Source organism: Homo sapiens, chromosome 8, assembly GCF_000001405.40.
Source record: "Homo sapiens chromosome 8, GRCh38.p14 Primary Assembly".
Classification (NCBI taxonomy): domain Eukaryota; kingdom Metazoa; phylum Chordata; class Mammalia; order Primates; family Hominidae; genus Homo; species Homo sapiens.
Window position 1 is genome coordinate 2,096,547 of NC_000008.11, and position 15,953 is coordinate 2,112,499.

At 46.3% G+C, this 15,953-nt stretch overlaps 1 protein-coding gene across 1 annotated transcript in view, besides 2 other annotated features; it reads left to right on the forward strand.

The window, feature by feature from the left end:
• The window catches only part of MYOM2 (myomesin 2), a 100,411-nt gene that overhangs the window by 51,501 nt on the left and 32,957 nt on the right, over positions 1–15,953 (forward strand). Inside the window, exons 19-25 of the mRNA NM_003970.4 lie at positions 2,311–2,437; positions 4,330–4,508; positions 6,121–6,235; positions 9,696–9,852; positions 9,945–10,051; positions 12,240–12,284; positions 12,849–12,985. Coding sequence (NP_003961.3) covers positions 2,311–2,437; positions 4,330–4,508; positions 6,121–6,235; positions 9,696–9,852; positions 9,945–10,051; positions 12,240–12,284; positions 12,849–12,985 — 867 coding nt within the window. The remainder of the gene's footprint in view (positions 1–2,310; positions 2,438–4,329; positions 4,509–6,120; positions 6,236–9,695; positions 9,853–9,944; positions 10,052–12,239; positions 12,285–12,848; positions 12,986–15,953) is intronic.
• Positions 4,983–6,181: an enhancer, noted in NCBI's record as "CDK7 strongly-dependent group 2 enhancer chr8:2049318-2050517 (GRCh37/hg19 assembly coordinates)". NCBI's record gives its function as "activates an origin of replication core promoter dependent on BRD2, BRD4, P300/CBP, MED14 and CDK7 cofactors, with strong dependence on CDK7, by STARR-seq in HCT116 cells {active_cell/tissue: HCT116}" and the evidence as "EXISTENCE:reporter gene assay evidence [ECO:0000049][PMID:35650434]".
• Positions 9,047–10,245: an enhancer, noted in NCBI's record as "BRD4-independent group 4 enhancer chr8:2053383-2054582 (GRCh37/hg19 assembly coordinates)". NCBI's record gives its function as "activates an origin of replication core promoter dependent on BRD2, P300/CBP, MED14 and CDK7 cofactors, and independent of BRD4, by STARR-seq in HCT116 cells {active_cell/tissue: HCT116}" and the evidence as "EXISTENCE:reporter gene assay evidence [ECO:0000049][PMID:35650434]".

The window sequence follows — 15,953 nt, forward strand, 5'->3', positions numbered from 1 at the left end:
TTAAAAAATAGCATCATGAGATCATGAAGTTTTGGAGCTAAAAAGATCCTAGGAATCATATTCTTTTTCTTTCTGAGAAGCAGTGAAGAAGGGAGCTCAGTGATGGAGTGGGCCTGACAGTGAGTCCATGACCTCTGGTGTGACCAGCATCTGGTCCCAGTACCTGTGGTAATGTCCCTTGTTCTAGGCTCTGAGGCCTTGAGGGCAGGGACGGAGTCTCACATGTGTGCCTGAGGGGAGGGTCACGCTGAATGTCTGTTTAGGAAGAGAGTAATGTTGGCTCTCTGCTTGTCACCCACCATTTCCCTGAGACATTCTTGTATTTCAGGCCTCCCAGAGAGTCCCTTGCCTCAGTGCCCCTGGTGCTCAGGTGCAGAGTGTGGCAAGGACATCGACTTGGAGCTCAGAGATCTGGGGTCAGATCCAGACACCCCCTTGGCAGCCATTGCTCTGTTTCCCTGTCCGGCCCTTGACCCCTCATCTGAGCATAGATGAATGACCCTCATCTCACACTACAGCTCCCGTCCGGACTGTGGGGAGCCACAGACCTCAGGGGAGTCACTTACACTCCAACAGGAGGGCTTTCTTTTTTGGAGAGTGTAAGGCCTTAGAAGATCTAATCTTTGTCTACTAGAAAATTCTGCCTTATAAATCTATCTCTTTATAATATATGTTAATATTTTATACACATATGATGATATATAGGCAACTTTCTAGTTTGCTGTGACATTATTGATATTTTGCCCACGTTCAACCTCTGTTCTGATCCCTTACAATGTCTAAATGTTCTCAACTTAAAAATTATTTTATTTTTAATTGACAAATAATAATTGTACGTATGGGGTACAATGTGATATTTTAATATATGTTTGCATTATGGAATGATTAAATCAAGCCAATTAACATCTCCATTGCCTCCCAGTACTTACAATTTTTTGCAGTGAGAACATTTAAAATCTATTTATTTATATATTTATTTAGTTTTCGAGACAGAGTCTCACTCTGTGACCCAGGCTGGAGTGCAGTGGCACGATCTCGGCTCACTGCAAGCTCCGCCTCCTGGGTTCAAGCAATTCTCCTGCCTTAGCCTCCTGAGTAGCTGGGATTACAGGCGCCCACCACCACGCCCGGCTAATTTTTGTATTATTTCAGTAGAGACAGGGTTTCACCATGTTGCCCAGGTTGGTCTGGAACTCCTGACCTCAGGTGATCTGCCCGCCTCAGCCTCCCAAAGTGCGGGGATTACAGGCGTGAGTCACTGTGCCCAGCCTAAAATCTATTTAAAAAATGTTTTTCAAATATGTCTACAACACATTATTATGGGCTAAATCATCACCACGCTGTGCAGGAAGCACGAGAACTCGCCCCTCCTGTTGCTGCTGGAACTTTGTCCCTCTGTCCAGCGCCTCCCCGACCCGGCACCCGCCCCTCAGCTCCCTGTCTTTGTGAGTGCTACTGTTTCAGATTCCACATCTGAGCGAGATCACACAGTGTCTGTCCTTTTGTCCCTGGGTCATCTCACTCAGCACAACAGTTCTTTACTCGGTCCGAGATTCCTGAGAAAAGTACCTGCTTACTTTCTGAGTGCTTCACAGCTAGTCCAGTGAGGAGGATAAACTGAAGCCGTTTATCCTCAGATATCTTACTTCGGAAGCTATTTTTTGAGACAGTGTTTACCCAGATAGCGTTTTTGTGCCACAAGCCCGGGGGAGTCGAGGCTCGTAGTGTTGGTCAAAGGCCTCCCTGGTGCTTTGTCCCCCAGCCAGGCAGCGTCCCTGAGGGCCCGGTGGGTGGCCCCAGACTGCAGCACCCCAGGGACATGGGCAGCCCGGGGGCTCTTGTCATGCAGAGTCCAAGTATGGGGGACGTGGTGGGCTCCGTCTCCAGGGTGACCCCCCTTGGGTGCAGGGCAGGGCCCGCTCAGGGGACAGTGCGTGGCCTGAGTGCCTGTTTCCTCGAAGCCTCCGCCCTTGAGTTGGCCCTGGGCAACCGTCGCCTCTCTGGGCCTCAGTTTCCTTACCTGCCGCTGGGGTATCACCTGTCCCCTACCCCCGCAGGAGTGGGATTGAGTGAAGGACTCAATCACTTTGGGAAATCACTTTGGGGATTGAGTGAAGGACACGTAAGGTTTCATGCGGCTGCAGCTCGTCGGCCACATCGAGGTCCTTCCTGAAATATTTGGTCCAATTTCCCGACAAGGTTCCTTCCTCTCATATTTTATTTCACAAGCCAGTTATAACAACTCCTCCCCCTCAGTGGGCTGTAAGGCATCCTTTATCTCATGTATTAATTTAAACAAAATCTGAATAGGTGGACGGCTTGACGGAAGGCTCACTCTACGAGTTCAAAATCGCCGCCGTCAACCTGGCCGGCATCGGGGAGCCCTCAGATCCCAGTGAGCACTTCAAGTGTGAGGCCTGGACCATGCCGGAGCCCGGTGAGTCGCTGCCCCCAGGACACCCGCGTTCCAGCGCACAGGCTGGCTGGGAAGGGGCCTCTGTGGCTGCGACTCTGGACTCGCCAGCCTTCACAGCGTGTCTGTTCCTCCGACACCCGCAGCCGCAGAGCCACCGTGCGCCAGGCGCCGTGCAGGGCTGTGAATCAGGCAGACCCAGCATCTAGTTTGGGCTGTGCGTGGTCCAGAGGCCAGTGATGAGGGCAGAGTAGGAGGCCCTGAGGGTGAGGTGGGAGGGAGCACAGGAGGACCCAGACTGTGGGGAGAGGGACAGCTTCCCATGCATCCCCTGACCTATGACACGGATTTGGCCCAGGTCACCTACCCCAAAGGAGCAGGCAGAGAGGGTCACAGGTGGAGGAGAAGGTGCGAGCCCCGGCCCCAGCTGGGAGGCGCGACAGGGTTCTCATTCGTGGGTTAGCTCCTGCAGTCCTCTCAGGCCATCTGGGGATCTCGGGGGAGGCACGACAGGGTTCTCATTCGTGGGTGAGCTCCTGCTGTCCTCTCAGGCCATCTGGGGATCTCGGGGCTTCTGCTTCTAAAAGGCATCATTGTTGCAGACCTGCATTTATTTAGCTCGCACTCTACTGGTTTTTTGTTTTGAGATGAGGTCTCTCTATGTTGCCCAGGCTGGTCTTGAACTCCTGGGCTCAAGCCATCTTCCTGCCTCAGCCTTATGAGTAGCTGGGGCCACAGGTTCATGTCACCATGCCCTGCTAACATTTTCTCTCTGTTTTCAAAAGTTCTCAAGTACCAGACCTTGATTTCTTTGTCTCTAACCTATCAGGAATTAAGTGCAATGGATAATATGCTCATACTTTGAGAAAGTAAATCCTGAAAGTTGAAGCTGAAAAAGTTCAAAGTTCAGAGTGTTTTCCAATGTTATGGCCAGAGTATACTGCCTTTTTCCTTTTAGTCAGCGTCTTTTGAGTTAGCAAATCAGCTGCTAAGAAGCCAGATGAATAAGCCAATTAGAAAATTCCTTCCTTCCTTCTTTCCTTCCTTCCTTCCTTTCTTTCCTTCCTTCCTTCTTTCCTTCCTTCCTTCTTTCCTTCCTTCCTTCCTTCTTTCCTTCCTTTCTTCTTTCCTTCCTTCCTTCCTTCCTTCTTTCTTTCCTTCCTTCCTTCTTTCCTTCCTTCCTTCCTTCCTTCCTTCCTTCCTTCCTTCCTTCCTTCCTTCCTTCCTTCCCTCCCTGCCTCCCGCCTTCTTTCCTGCCTTCCTACCTTTCTTCTTTTAATGAAATTAAATTTTGGACCTTAGAAAACCAACAGAAGAAAAAAGTCATTCTAGTTTCCCGAGCCTCTTTTGAGGGTTGATAGGAGATGGCCTCTCAAGGCTCAAGGCCACAGTGAGACTAGCTGAAGATGGGGCGGGGCTGCCTCTCTGTTTCCCTGCACCGCTTGGTGCTTGCCTGGACCTGGGCCTCCGCACCACATGCCCTCAGAGTTGCCGCGGGTGTTCGTAGAGGACAGGGCTGCAGTGATGTGCTTCCGGCCAGGTAGGCAGGCTCCCTGAGTGACTGTGACTGCCAGGTGTCCAGCCCCGTGGAGGGTAACTTGAGAACCTGTCCTTTCCCGCACACCGTTCCTCTCTGTGATCGCATCTGCTGGTCCCGAGAATGCAGTGTGGACTTCTGAATGATTCTACGTAGATCCACGTAGGCTGGGCCCTCCTCCCTGACCCCCAACGTCATGCTGAGCACCCTCCTTACCCTGCTCTGCAAGAGAGGCTGATAAACATCAGATGGGGAACAGATACGGATGGTCCTGGTGGGGGGCTTCCCAGAGGAGCAGTGGGTCCCCGGGGCTGGGTTGGGCGGTGGGTGTGCTGGACTGGCTATGCGCGCAGAAACAAGGTGGCATCTGACTTCACAGGTCCTGCCTACGACTTGACGTTCTGTGAGGTCAGGGACACGTCCTTGGTCATGCTGTGGAAGGCCCCTGTGTACTCCGGCAGCAGCCCTGTTTCTGGATATTTCGTGGACTTCAGGGAGGAGGATGCTGGAGAGTGGATCACTGTCAATCAGACGACAACAGCCAGCCGTTATTTAAAGGTAAGTCTTGGCCGGCTGTGGTGGCTCATGCCTGTAATCCCAGCACTTTGGGAGGTAAAGGCGGGCCAATCACTTGAGGTCAGGAGTTCGAAACCAGCCTGGCCAACATGGAGAAGCCCCGTCTCTACTAAAAATACAAAAAAATTAGCCGGGCATGGCACCGTGGCAGGCACCTGTAATCCCAGCTACTCGGGAAGCTGAGTCAGGAGAATCGCTTGAACCCGGGAGGCGGAGGTTGCGGTGAGCTGAGACTGAGTCACCGCACTCCAGCCTGGTTGACAGAGCGAGACTCTGTCTCAAAAACAAAACACACACACAAAAATAAAACAAACTAACCACAAAAAATAAAGGTAAGTCTTTCGTCTTGGCGTTTCCCTCTGTGTGAAAGTGCTGTTGATCTCTGCGCAAGCCAGCACCGAGCCCCGAGGTGAACCTGTTCAGATGACCGGGGCGTGGCTGCTGAGGATGCAGCCGCCATGCGCGTTGTGGGGCCCAGCAGATGACAGAACAGTGCCTTGAGGACGCAGAGCCCTCCTTCCATTCACACCAACATGCTGTTTGCTCCTGGGGAACTGCGCAGACACGCCTGTTTTCTTCCACATTGCAGTCTAATAGCTGTTAATTGTCTGTTCATGGGCTATGTCTGTGTGCTTTCCAAAGGGATGGTGCCTATTGTATTATGTCCTTCCACTTCACGCCGGGCATTTAATTTACTTAATTCATGTGATCGCTAAAGTCCATTTGATAAGCACCACACACAGATATACACACAGTTTTCATACATGGAGCAAAACTATCATGTGTGACTTCCTCCAGCCTCTCTTTCTCCAAATGTTTCTGTTTTTAGCACTTGCGGTTCCTCAGTGACTGGGTCAGGTGTAAGGACTGAGCCCCAGGAGGCCTACATGCTCCAGCTGAGTTGCCAACTGCCTTAACCCAGAGGTTTTCTTCTCTGGGTGCTGGGCCCTGTGGTGGGGTGGGCCTGCTTCCTTCCCTAAAGCACAGCCACGTCTGGGTCCGGCACCTGAGCACAGGCTGAGAGGGCCTTCCACGGGTGACACCTTCCGGAAACCCTTTGATGACAGGAAACAGCCAGTGTCTTTAGAATGAATGAGTCAGCTTCTAAGAATCAGCTACATAAATCAACTAGAAGCTTAGTAAATATATATAGATGTTTATCCAAGCAGGTTTTAATAAGAATAACCCATGTATGTACAAGTAGAGATGGATTTAATTCTGATGCCCCAATGATGACTTTACACAGTTAAATATCACACTTAAAATAGTATTTGGTTCCACAGAATTATGTTAAATATAAACACCAGATTATAAACTAGTCAGTATGATTTTACTTCTGCTTTAAAATATGCAGAGATAAAAAAATGAAAGAGGTTCCATCAGATTGGGAGCGAATGCGTTTATTCCTCCAAAGTCACATTCTGCACCACTGTGAATCTCCTCTTCCCTCCTTTTCTAACTCATTAAGTATCATTTTCCTAACTGGAAAAATAAGCTATTTTTGAAAAGGCCCTATTCACAATAAAATGTGAAAAACTCCACAGTCATCTTTATTTTACCTCCACACATCTGGTGTTTCCTCTGTTGTTTCAAGGTCTCTGACCTGCAGCAAGGTAAGACCTATGTCTTCAGGGTCCGGGCAGTCAATGCAAATGGCGTGGGGAAGCCCTCAGACACGTCGGAGCCTGTGCTGGTAGAGGCGAGACCAGGTAAGGCTTACAACAAAAACTACAAAACAGCAATGATTTGTGGGGAGAGTGTGCATGTATTATGGATGTATGGATGAGGGTGTGTGGATAAATGAGTGGGAGAGTGAACACGTGTTATGTGTGTATGTGTGGATGGGTCTGTAGATAAATGAATGGGAGAGTGTGCATGTGTTACGTGTACATGTATGTATGGGTATGTGGATAAATGTATGGGAGAGTGTGCATGGATTATGTGTTTATGCATGGGTGTCTGAATAAATGAGTGGGAGAGTGTGCATGTATTATGTGTGGATGTGTGGATGGGTGTATGGATAAATGCATGTATTATGTGTTCATGTATGGGTGGGTGGGTGTGTGTGTAAATGAATGGGAGATTGCGCATGTATTGTGTGTATGGATGGACGGGTGTGTGGATAAATGAGTGGGAGAGTGTGCATGTTTTATGTGTATATGTGTATATGGATAAATGAGTGAGAGAGTGTGCATGTATTATGTGTATATGTGTATGTATGTATGGGTAAATGGATAAATGAGTGGGAGAGTGTACATATATTATGTGCATATGTGTATGTATGGATGGGTGTATGGATAAATGAGTGGGAGAGCGTGCATGTGTTATGTGTTTATGTGTATGTATGTATAGGTATATGGATAAATGAGTGGGAGAGTGTGCATGTGTTATGTGTATATGTGTATGTATGGATGGGTATATGAATAAATGAGTGGGAGAGTGTGCATGTATTCTGTGTATATGTGTATGTATGGATGGGTGTATGGATAAATGAGTGGGAGAGTGTGCATGTATTATGTGTATATGTGTATATATGTAGAGGTGTATGGATAAATGAGTGGGAGAGCGTGCATGTATTATGTGTATATGTGTATGTATGTAGAGGTATATGGATAAATGAGTGGGAGAGTGTGCATGTATTAGTGTATATGTGTATGTATGGATGGGTGTATGGATAAATGAGTGGGAGAGCATGCATGTGTTATGTGTTTATGTGTATGTATGTATAGGTATATGGATAAATGAGTGGGAGAGTGTGCATATATTATGTGTATATGTGTATGTATGTACAGGTATATGGATAAATGAGTGGGAGATAGTGCATGTGTTATGTGTGCATGTATGGATGGGTGTACGGATAAATGAACGGATGTCTTGCCGTTATTTTAAAAAGATTTGGATGGCAAATGAAGTATGCAATTAAATCTCTGCCTGTGCACTAATGGCCCTGGATGAGAAGGAGAGCACTTTGGGTCATCTTCATGCTTGGCAGGGGTTGTTCTTCGAATCGTCAAGCCACGTGCAGGAAGGAGGGCATTTTTTAAATATTACTGCTGGATTTTTATCAGAAAATTTTAAAAAGCTGTTGGTAATTTTCTTGATTTCAACGAATAAAAGTTCCCTGGAGTCAACCTAAAAAGGGCAAATACTTCTGAAGGCAGGACACACACTCATAGGATACACAGTCTATTTTGTGTTGCTGTAACAGAACACCGAGGCTGGGTAATTGTTTTTAAAAGTTTATTGGGGCGTGGGTGTGGTGGCTCACGCCTGTAATCCCAGCAATTTGGGAAGCCGAGGCGGGCGGATCACGAGGTCAGGAGATCGAGACCATCCTGGCTAACACAGTGAAACCCCGTCTCTACTAAAAAATACAAAAAGAATTAGCTGGGCATGGTGTTGGGCGCCTGTAGTCCCAGCTACTCAGGAGGCGGAGGCAGGAGAATGGGGTGAACCTGGGAGGCGGAGGTTGCAGTGAGCCGAGATCGCGCCACTGCACTCTAGCCTGGGCAACGGAGCAAGACTCCATTTAAAAAAAAAAAAAGAAAAAAAAAGTTTATTTGGCTCATGATTCTGGAGGCGGGAAGTCTAAGAAGCACAGTGCCGGGATCTGCTGTGGTGGCTCCGGCAGCTCTGGTGGCTCCGGTGAGGGCCTCCCGCTGCCCCACAACATGGTAGAGAACTGGGTGTGTGCGGAAACGGACCCAGCATGGGAGGCAGCCTTGCTTTATAACATTTACTCTCACTGGAACTACTCCATTCCAGTTTAACCAACCAGCAGCCGTGGTTATTAGCAAGAATCTACCCAGTCTTTCCAGAAAGACACGAGTCTATCTTAACGACCTAATCACCTCTTTTAAAAAGAATTTTTATTATTCTGTTTTTTATAGAGACAGGATCTCACTATGTTGCCCAGGCTGGTCTTGAACTCCTGAGCTCAAGCGATCCTCTGGCCTCGGCCTCCCAAAGTGCTGGGATTACAGGCATGAGTGCTGCCCCCAGTCATTAATCACTTCTTAAAGGCTCCACCTCCCAACACCGTTGCACTGGCTTTTACATTTCAATGTGAGTTTTGAGGGGATCATCCACATCCAAACCACAGCCCCAGAGTGTGACCTGAGTGTCAGGAAGCAGTGCAGCCTCAGACTGTAAAGATCCTGATGGCTGTCTGTGGTGGCCTCTTCATCTCACCCTGCCACCTGGCTTTCCTTGCATCTGTGTCTTCTTCATAACCCGAGAGCACTGACACTTCATGGCCTCAGTTCCACTCACCAGCAGAGGCTGAGATGTGTCTCGTCCAATTCCTAATTCCTACGACATAGATTCTGCCTTGCACACGGCCAGATGTTCACCTGGGTCAAAAAGTAGCAAATAAACCACAAACAACCCCTACTCCCAAACAAGACAAGGCAAGGCCCCATGGAGAAGGCAGAGCTGTGTGAAGGGGGAGCTTCATGGTGGGCACATGGCTGCTGGGCTTCCCCTGAGGGTCAGAGAAGGAGATTCCAGAGAGAACAGGATCTTCAGGGCCTGGAGAGGCAGCCCTAAGAGGTTTTCTGCAGTTGTATGAGATGCAGGGAAGGACGTGTGCAGAAATATGGTAAATTAAAAAAAATTAGCAACAACAAAACAACCAAGCCCCTCCAGGTCCTCCCTAAAGTGTTTTCTCTCTCACGATTCTCTCATCAGTCCTGGGTCATTAAATGCAACTGATGATTTGGTGTAAGATGAGGTCTCTGCATTGGGTACCCCCTCGGCATTAGTCCGTTCTCACGCTGGTATGAAGAAATATCTGAGACTGGGTGACTTATAAAGAAAAGAGGTTTAATTGACTGACAGTCCTTCGTGGCTGGGGAGGCCTCAGGAAACTTACAGTCATGGCAGAGGGCACTTCTTCACAGGGCGGCAGGACAGAGTGAGTGCCAGCAGGGGGAATGCCAGGTGCTTCTAAAACCATCAGATCTCATAAGACTCAGTCACTATCATGAGGACAGCATGGGGGAAACCACCCCCGTGATCCAATCACCTCACTCCCTCTACACTTGGGGATTACAATTTGAGATGAGATTTGGGTGTGGACGCGGAGCCAAACCATATCACCCTCTCCCAAAAGAGAGTTGAAAGAACACCGTGTCCCTAAGCCGCTCACTTCATACTCTTCTTATGCAGGCACCAAGGAAATCAGTGCTGGTGTCGATGAACAAGGCAACATCTATCTGGGCTTCGACTGCCAGGAAATGACAGACGCGTCTCAGTTCACCTGGTGTAAATCCTACGAGGAGATTTCAGATGATGAGAGGTTTAAAATTGAAACCGTGGGGGATCAGTAAGTGAGGCCTGGAAGTTGGATACTGGAAACTTTTAGAAGTTCCTGCAAACAGAAATGATCGACATTCACCTACTCTTCTTCCTTTTTAGCTCCAAGCTGTACTTAAAGAATCCGGATAAGGAGGATTTAGGGACTTACTCCGTGTCTGTAAGTGATACAGACGGAGTGTCCTCCAGTTTTGTTCTGGACCCAGAAGGTAATATTTATATGGCAGAACCTTGCCTGTTTTGGTTTTATCACACTTTCAAAGATTGACACCAACATAGAAAAGACTTACTTGCTTAGAAAAAAGACGTATGTTTGCAGGAGGCTGGCGGTGGGGGCTATGTATATAAGCCAAAACTTGCTTTAGAAATTAAACAAACTCTAAAGTTTATACTGTTTCCACCAAGTAGTCTCTGGTCCTGATATATTGCTTGTATAGCCTTCAATTTGTACTTTTAAAGTTGAGTCTTAGCCACATTTTAATAGTTTGGTATGCAGAGGGTAACATATTAACTAAGAAATCCATGAAATTAATGAGAGACCTACGGGTGGAAGAGTCTTCCCTTCCTTCCAACACTGAGAAATCAGATGATCAAAGAAAAATTTTTTTATGCATGTAAAATAATTTTAACTGACGAAGTGAAAATCTGCTGCTGTGTTACCCATGGAAGACGGCAGAGAGAAGTGAGAAAAGTCTGTTTAGTGATCAAGGGGAAAAACAATAGTTTTCTTAGATAGGTTCACAGGTCTGAGTTCACCAGGCACACAGTCTCATGCAGGCAGGGCTGATTTTTTTAAACTGCCTAGCATCACGTGTATTTGTGTGGCCCGTCATCTACCCCACCCACAGGACAGCGTCAGCCTTAGACATTTTTAAACGAAGGGGCAGTGGTGCAGCGTGAACTCGTAGGGCTGGATGGTATCCTCAGATTTCTGGGTTTCTTTGGGTGTCTAAGGCATTTGAATTTCCAAAAGTTTTCTATTAAAGTGCTCTCCAGGGATGGCATAAATGATCTCCAGGGGAGTCCTAAGGTTTACAAGCAGATCCTTTAGTTATCAATCACTGTCCTGGTTGATATCATGCAGAGGCTGTGATCTGAGAACATCCGACCCAGGATCGGTGCTGTGGGCTGGGCAGGAGGATGGGCAGGTATCCACGGAGGGGGAAGCCAGAATCACACTCTCGGCTTCTCGAGTGTGCAGGTTTGGCTCAATGTTGGTGAAATTCAGGAAAACTCATGCACATTTAACAAGACACAGGCAGACAAATGAGGAGGCCGCACTGTCTCGCCTTTCTGGGGTCCTCAGTTCACCACTCACAGGCAGGGTGGGGAAGGACCCAAAATCCATTTGCATGCTTTTAAAGCAGCCTCTGTTGGCCCTGCCTCCAGGGTCTTGACACAGTTTTGTACCTTCACGACATCCTGAAGGACTTCTGAAAAGCTGTGCATTCCTCTGCACCATTTCAAAGTTTCCATCTTAATTTTAACTTTTTTAAATACTTGCAAAAGAAAAAATTCCACCTTCTCTTATATTGTGTATAGACTTCAAATATATTTGAGGTAAAACTTTGCAGTTGAAGATTTAGTTCATTCCATGTATGGAAATTCCTACCAGAAGGTTGAACTGGGAAAGCCAGTCCTCCCTGTGAAACCAGTTGCCAATATGAATTTACTTTTGGGCAGAAAAATCTAACTTCATTTTTCCATTTTGAATAGACATGTTCTTGAAGGCCTTGGAGATCACCATCTTCTTTCTGATTCTAATTTTAAGAAGGAAGGAGAGAAAATGAAGTGGCTTAGAGCCCAGATTTTCTTACCTTGCTCTTGAGACTTTCTCAGGAATGCAAAATGCAGTGTATTTTGTTTATTTATTTATTTTTTTTGTTATTTTCTTCTTTCCTTTTTTTTTTTTAAATTCATGGTAATACACTATAGTGATGAAATGAGCGGTGTGTATATCTTTCTTTAATGAGATTGAAGAAGGACATCTTGAGAGGGGAAGGAAAGTCACAGGCCAGAAGCACGTTCTCAGCCAGTGCAATCAATTTTAGGAAAGAGCTCACATTAAGTGCAAGGATCTGGAAAAGACTCCCTTTAACCTTTCGTCTTCCAAGTCTTCCTATATTCCAGGGATATACCTACCCCTGCCCCCAATTCCTTTGTCCCCATGACTGTGCCCTGCCTTGTCCTCAGCTGCCCCTGTACTAGGTGGGTTCTTTAAATGGTGAAGGTTAAAGCTATCCTCTATGTCCCTCAGACTTGTAGTTTAAATTCCTTTCGTGTCCTCCAATTAAATCCTGGGGGTTTCCAATCTTGCTCGTGTGTCGCCTTGCTGTTGTCTACAAACTTCTCTAGGTGCAGGTCCAGATGAATTGAAATACTTTTTCTTCGTTTTAGAGCTCGAGCGTTTGATGGCATTGAGCAATGAAATAAAGAACCCCAGTAAGTAAGCCTCCAGCCCTTCCCCTCTGCTTGCAGCTGCTGGCTGGAGGGCCGTGTTCATTAATGCATGAGCTCTTGGAAGAACAGCTTTGGGGAAAGGATGGCCTGATTTCCTGATCCCAGCTTACAGGATTGAAACCTATTGATTTAAAACAAATATTAGCTTATATTATAGCTTGTTGAAACTTGCATTGCGTACACAGTGATTAGAATTTTGGGTTTAGTATAGCTGTTGCTAATCCGAGTGAGATCCAAGATTTCATTTCCTATCAAGTGAAATCTTCTGTTATTGAATTGCATTAAATATAGAAAGAATCCAGGCATCTTTACTTATCGAACACATTTGCAAAGCTAACTGAGAACTCATGTGGCATGAGGCTTTAGAGGCAACAACAGGCCAGCTCAAGTTTTATTTTATATTTTTAGCTTCCATAATCTAATACTCCAGGGTTTCACATTCTCAAAAATCTAATAACTAGGATTGATATTTCCCTACAATTTGCAGGTATTCTTCCTCACAAGGATTCATGCATTATTGACTTGCGATTTCTTTTCTTCCTGTAGCAATTCCTCTGAAATCGGAATTAGCTTATGAGATTTTTGATAAGGGGCGGGTTCGCTTCTGGCTCCAGGCTGAGCACTTATCACCAGATGCCAGCTACCGATTTATTATTAACGACAGAGAAGTCTCTGACAGCGAGGTGAGTTCCTGTGTGAGTGATCTCTGGCTTTGCAGGGAGTCCACTTTTGTTGTGGTAGGTCAGTTACTGAATATCAACATTCTCTGTCTGTTTCCATCCTTTTCTGAGCCTTAAAGATTGGGGCATGGAAGGTTGACAAGATGAATGGAGATGGTTGATTCTTACAATGTTCAAAGGTTTGGTCTGGGTTACAGGAGACATCAGGAGTCTTTAAAATCTGAGCCTGTTGGAATTAAAAATGACTTTGAGCTTGTTTTTTGTGAAAAGGTTTAGGTCAGGTGGGGGAAAATATCCTTGATGAATCAGTTCACTTATTCTTGATAATGGTTTTGAAGGTATCTATTTTTTGCTGTATTGTGAGAGAGGCCTCCCTGCATTCTCCCCCCACTGACAGCTTCCCATGGAAGGCATCCGTGGGGAATAAGTTTCTGTGGCTTCTCTGCCTGTTTGGGCAGCAATCTTGGTGTGGCAGACTGATGTGACAGTGTGGCTGTCAAGAGTGATGTTCTGGCCAGGCATGGCGGCTCTCACCTGTAATCTCCTCACTTTGGGAGGCCGAGATGGGGGCATTGCTTGATCCCAGGAGTTCAAGACCAGCCTGGGCAACATAAGGAGATCCCATCTCTACAAAAACTTAAGAAATTAGTTGGGCATGGTGATGCTCACCTGTAGTTCCAGCTACTTAGGAGGCTGATGTGGGAGGATCACTGGAGCCTGAGAGGTCCGAGCTGCAGTGAGTTATGATTGAACTACTGCACTCTAGCCTGGGAGACAGCAAGGCTCTGTCTCAAAACAACAACAACAAAAAAGGCACATGCTCTGTCACGGTCCAGACACCGCCTCGGTTCTGCTTTCGATTGTATAAAATGAACCTTAACAATTATGTCAGGTACTCCTTATTTGTCTGGAGAATATTTGAGAAGCCAATGGTTGTGTTTCAATAAATTTCCTCTTTTCTAATTATAGCGTGCCTGGGACCCGGTTAAAGGACAGCCCTATTTCATGGGGACTTTATTGTTCAGTGGTGGCTTGGGGCTCTCTCAGAGCCCCCATCTTTACTGCTTCTGCCTTTTTCCCTTAATGCCCAGTGTAGAGTGTGGTTGGCAACCTTAGCTGTGTACTAAGTCCTCAGTGTTGATTGGTTTGTTCATTACACAAGTTTTAGGGGAACTGTGGGATGCAGGAGCCTCTCATGCTCCCGGGCAGCCCCCCTACCATATTTCTAAGCTGGACCCCTCATTGCAGTCCAGCCTTTGTGTCTGATGGGCATTTAGCAGGACTCAGTTAGATGAATGTTGATCAGACAGAAGTCTTGCAGGTAAGGATCATAGAATTTTCTTCTCCAGTCAGTCTTTCCCATGAGAATCATGACACACTTTAAGACTCACTCCTACGTGGGAGAGTCGGCTAGAAAGTAGAAAACATCTAGCTTCTTTTGGGCTGCAAAAAAGCCAGTGGTATAACTATTGCCTATGGGAGACTTACTGTCTGATCCAGGTAATTGGAGAAATCTTCTTTGAGCAGAGACCATGCTATGAAATGAAAGGGAATTTAGGGGAATGGCACTTTATTTGCGGGATATCTTTTGATGAGCACTTCCTGCCTGCTGTATAGAGCTTGCTTTCAGGATGGGTGCCCTGGCTTCATGGCTAATCTTTTGGAATATGGTTGTACTATTTCACTTCTTTAATTAGCAATGCACAGGTGACTTTTACATTTGAAGATTGATGCTATTTTGTGGAAGACATATAAAAGTCTGTATTTATGGCACTCATAAAATCATTCAACTTCATCTTGCTGCATAATGGCATTAGCAAGAAGCCTAATTATTTTGTAAAACCTGCCCAGACATTGCAGCACAGCAGCTAAGAAAATGGAAAAAGCTGCTATATTGCTGAGAATCTACTCAGTGAGAATCATACCTTTTTCTTACTCAGAGCCAGTTAAAGTAAGTTCCTATCATTCATTCTCTACTCATAGATGTTTGAGGTGAGGATAATGTCATACAAATAAGGACAGTGCATTTATCTGATCAACCTGAAGTTTACTCTTGATATTCGGAAGTAAACACTCCACACTGTAAAGAAATCCAAGGTCCACGGGACGGTGTATCCACTGGAATCTCAGGTCCCTCTCCTGCTCATGGTACCTCCAAGAGCGACGTCAGTCTCCAGGGACGGGGACAAAGTTGTTGTGCTTCCTGCAGTTGAGCCATTTCTTAAAATAATCTCCCTCCCTCAAAAACAGTCTGAGGTCATGCCTTCTCATTCATTTCTGTCACTTTCTATCATTGTAGATGTACCAATTTCCTGTGCCAGTTTTCTGTTTAGAAAAAGTCTCAGTGATCTTACACAAGTATACGCTGTGTGATCTACATCTCTGATATAATATTGTAATTTCTAATTGCGAAGGTGATTTTTGTGTTTATGGGAAATCAAAACCTGGGGTAGGAGTGGAGCAGACTTTATTCACACGTAAACCCTGAATGTCAGATTCGATGAAACAAAAATTGCAGCATCCCCGGGAGCTGTTGGGAGCTTGGGCGGTCCTCTTCCTTTCCCAGTGGACGGCAGCACCTACCCTGTACATCACCTGTTGAATATCCACTTGGCCAATACACCAGCAGGGACAGAACAGTCAGATGTGAAGTTGCCCTTACAGAGACTGTCACGGAGTCAAAGAAATACACCTTCAATTAGAGGAGGACAGAGAAGAAAGATAGAACCCAGGTTATATTAAAACAGTACAGTAAACACTCTCAGAATTCAGAGAAGGCAGAGAGTTGAAGAGGCTGAAGTAGTCAGGAAGGATTTCAAGGGTAGAGGGTTATTGAAATGGGTGTTAAGGAGGTAGAAATCATGGGTCGGGGGGTGGGGGTCAGGGATGGGAGGGAGAGAATGAGACATTCCAAGCCGCTCTAGTGCACAGAGAGTGGGGAATGATCAGGGAATAGCGACACAGGGAAGTG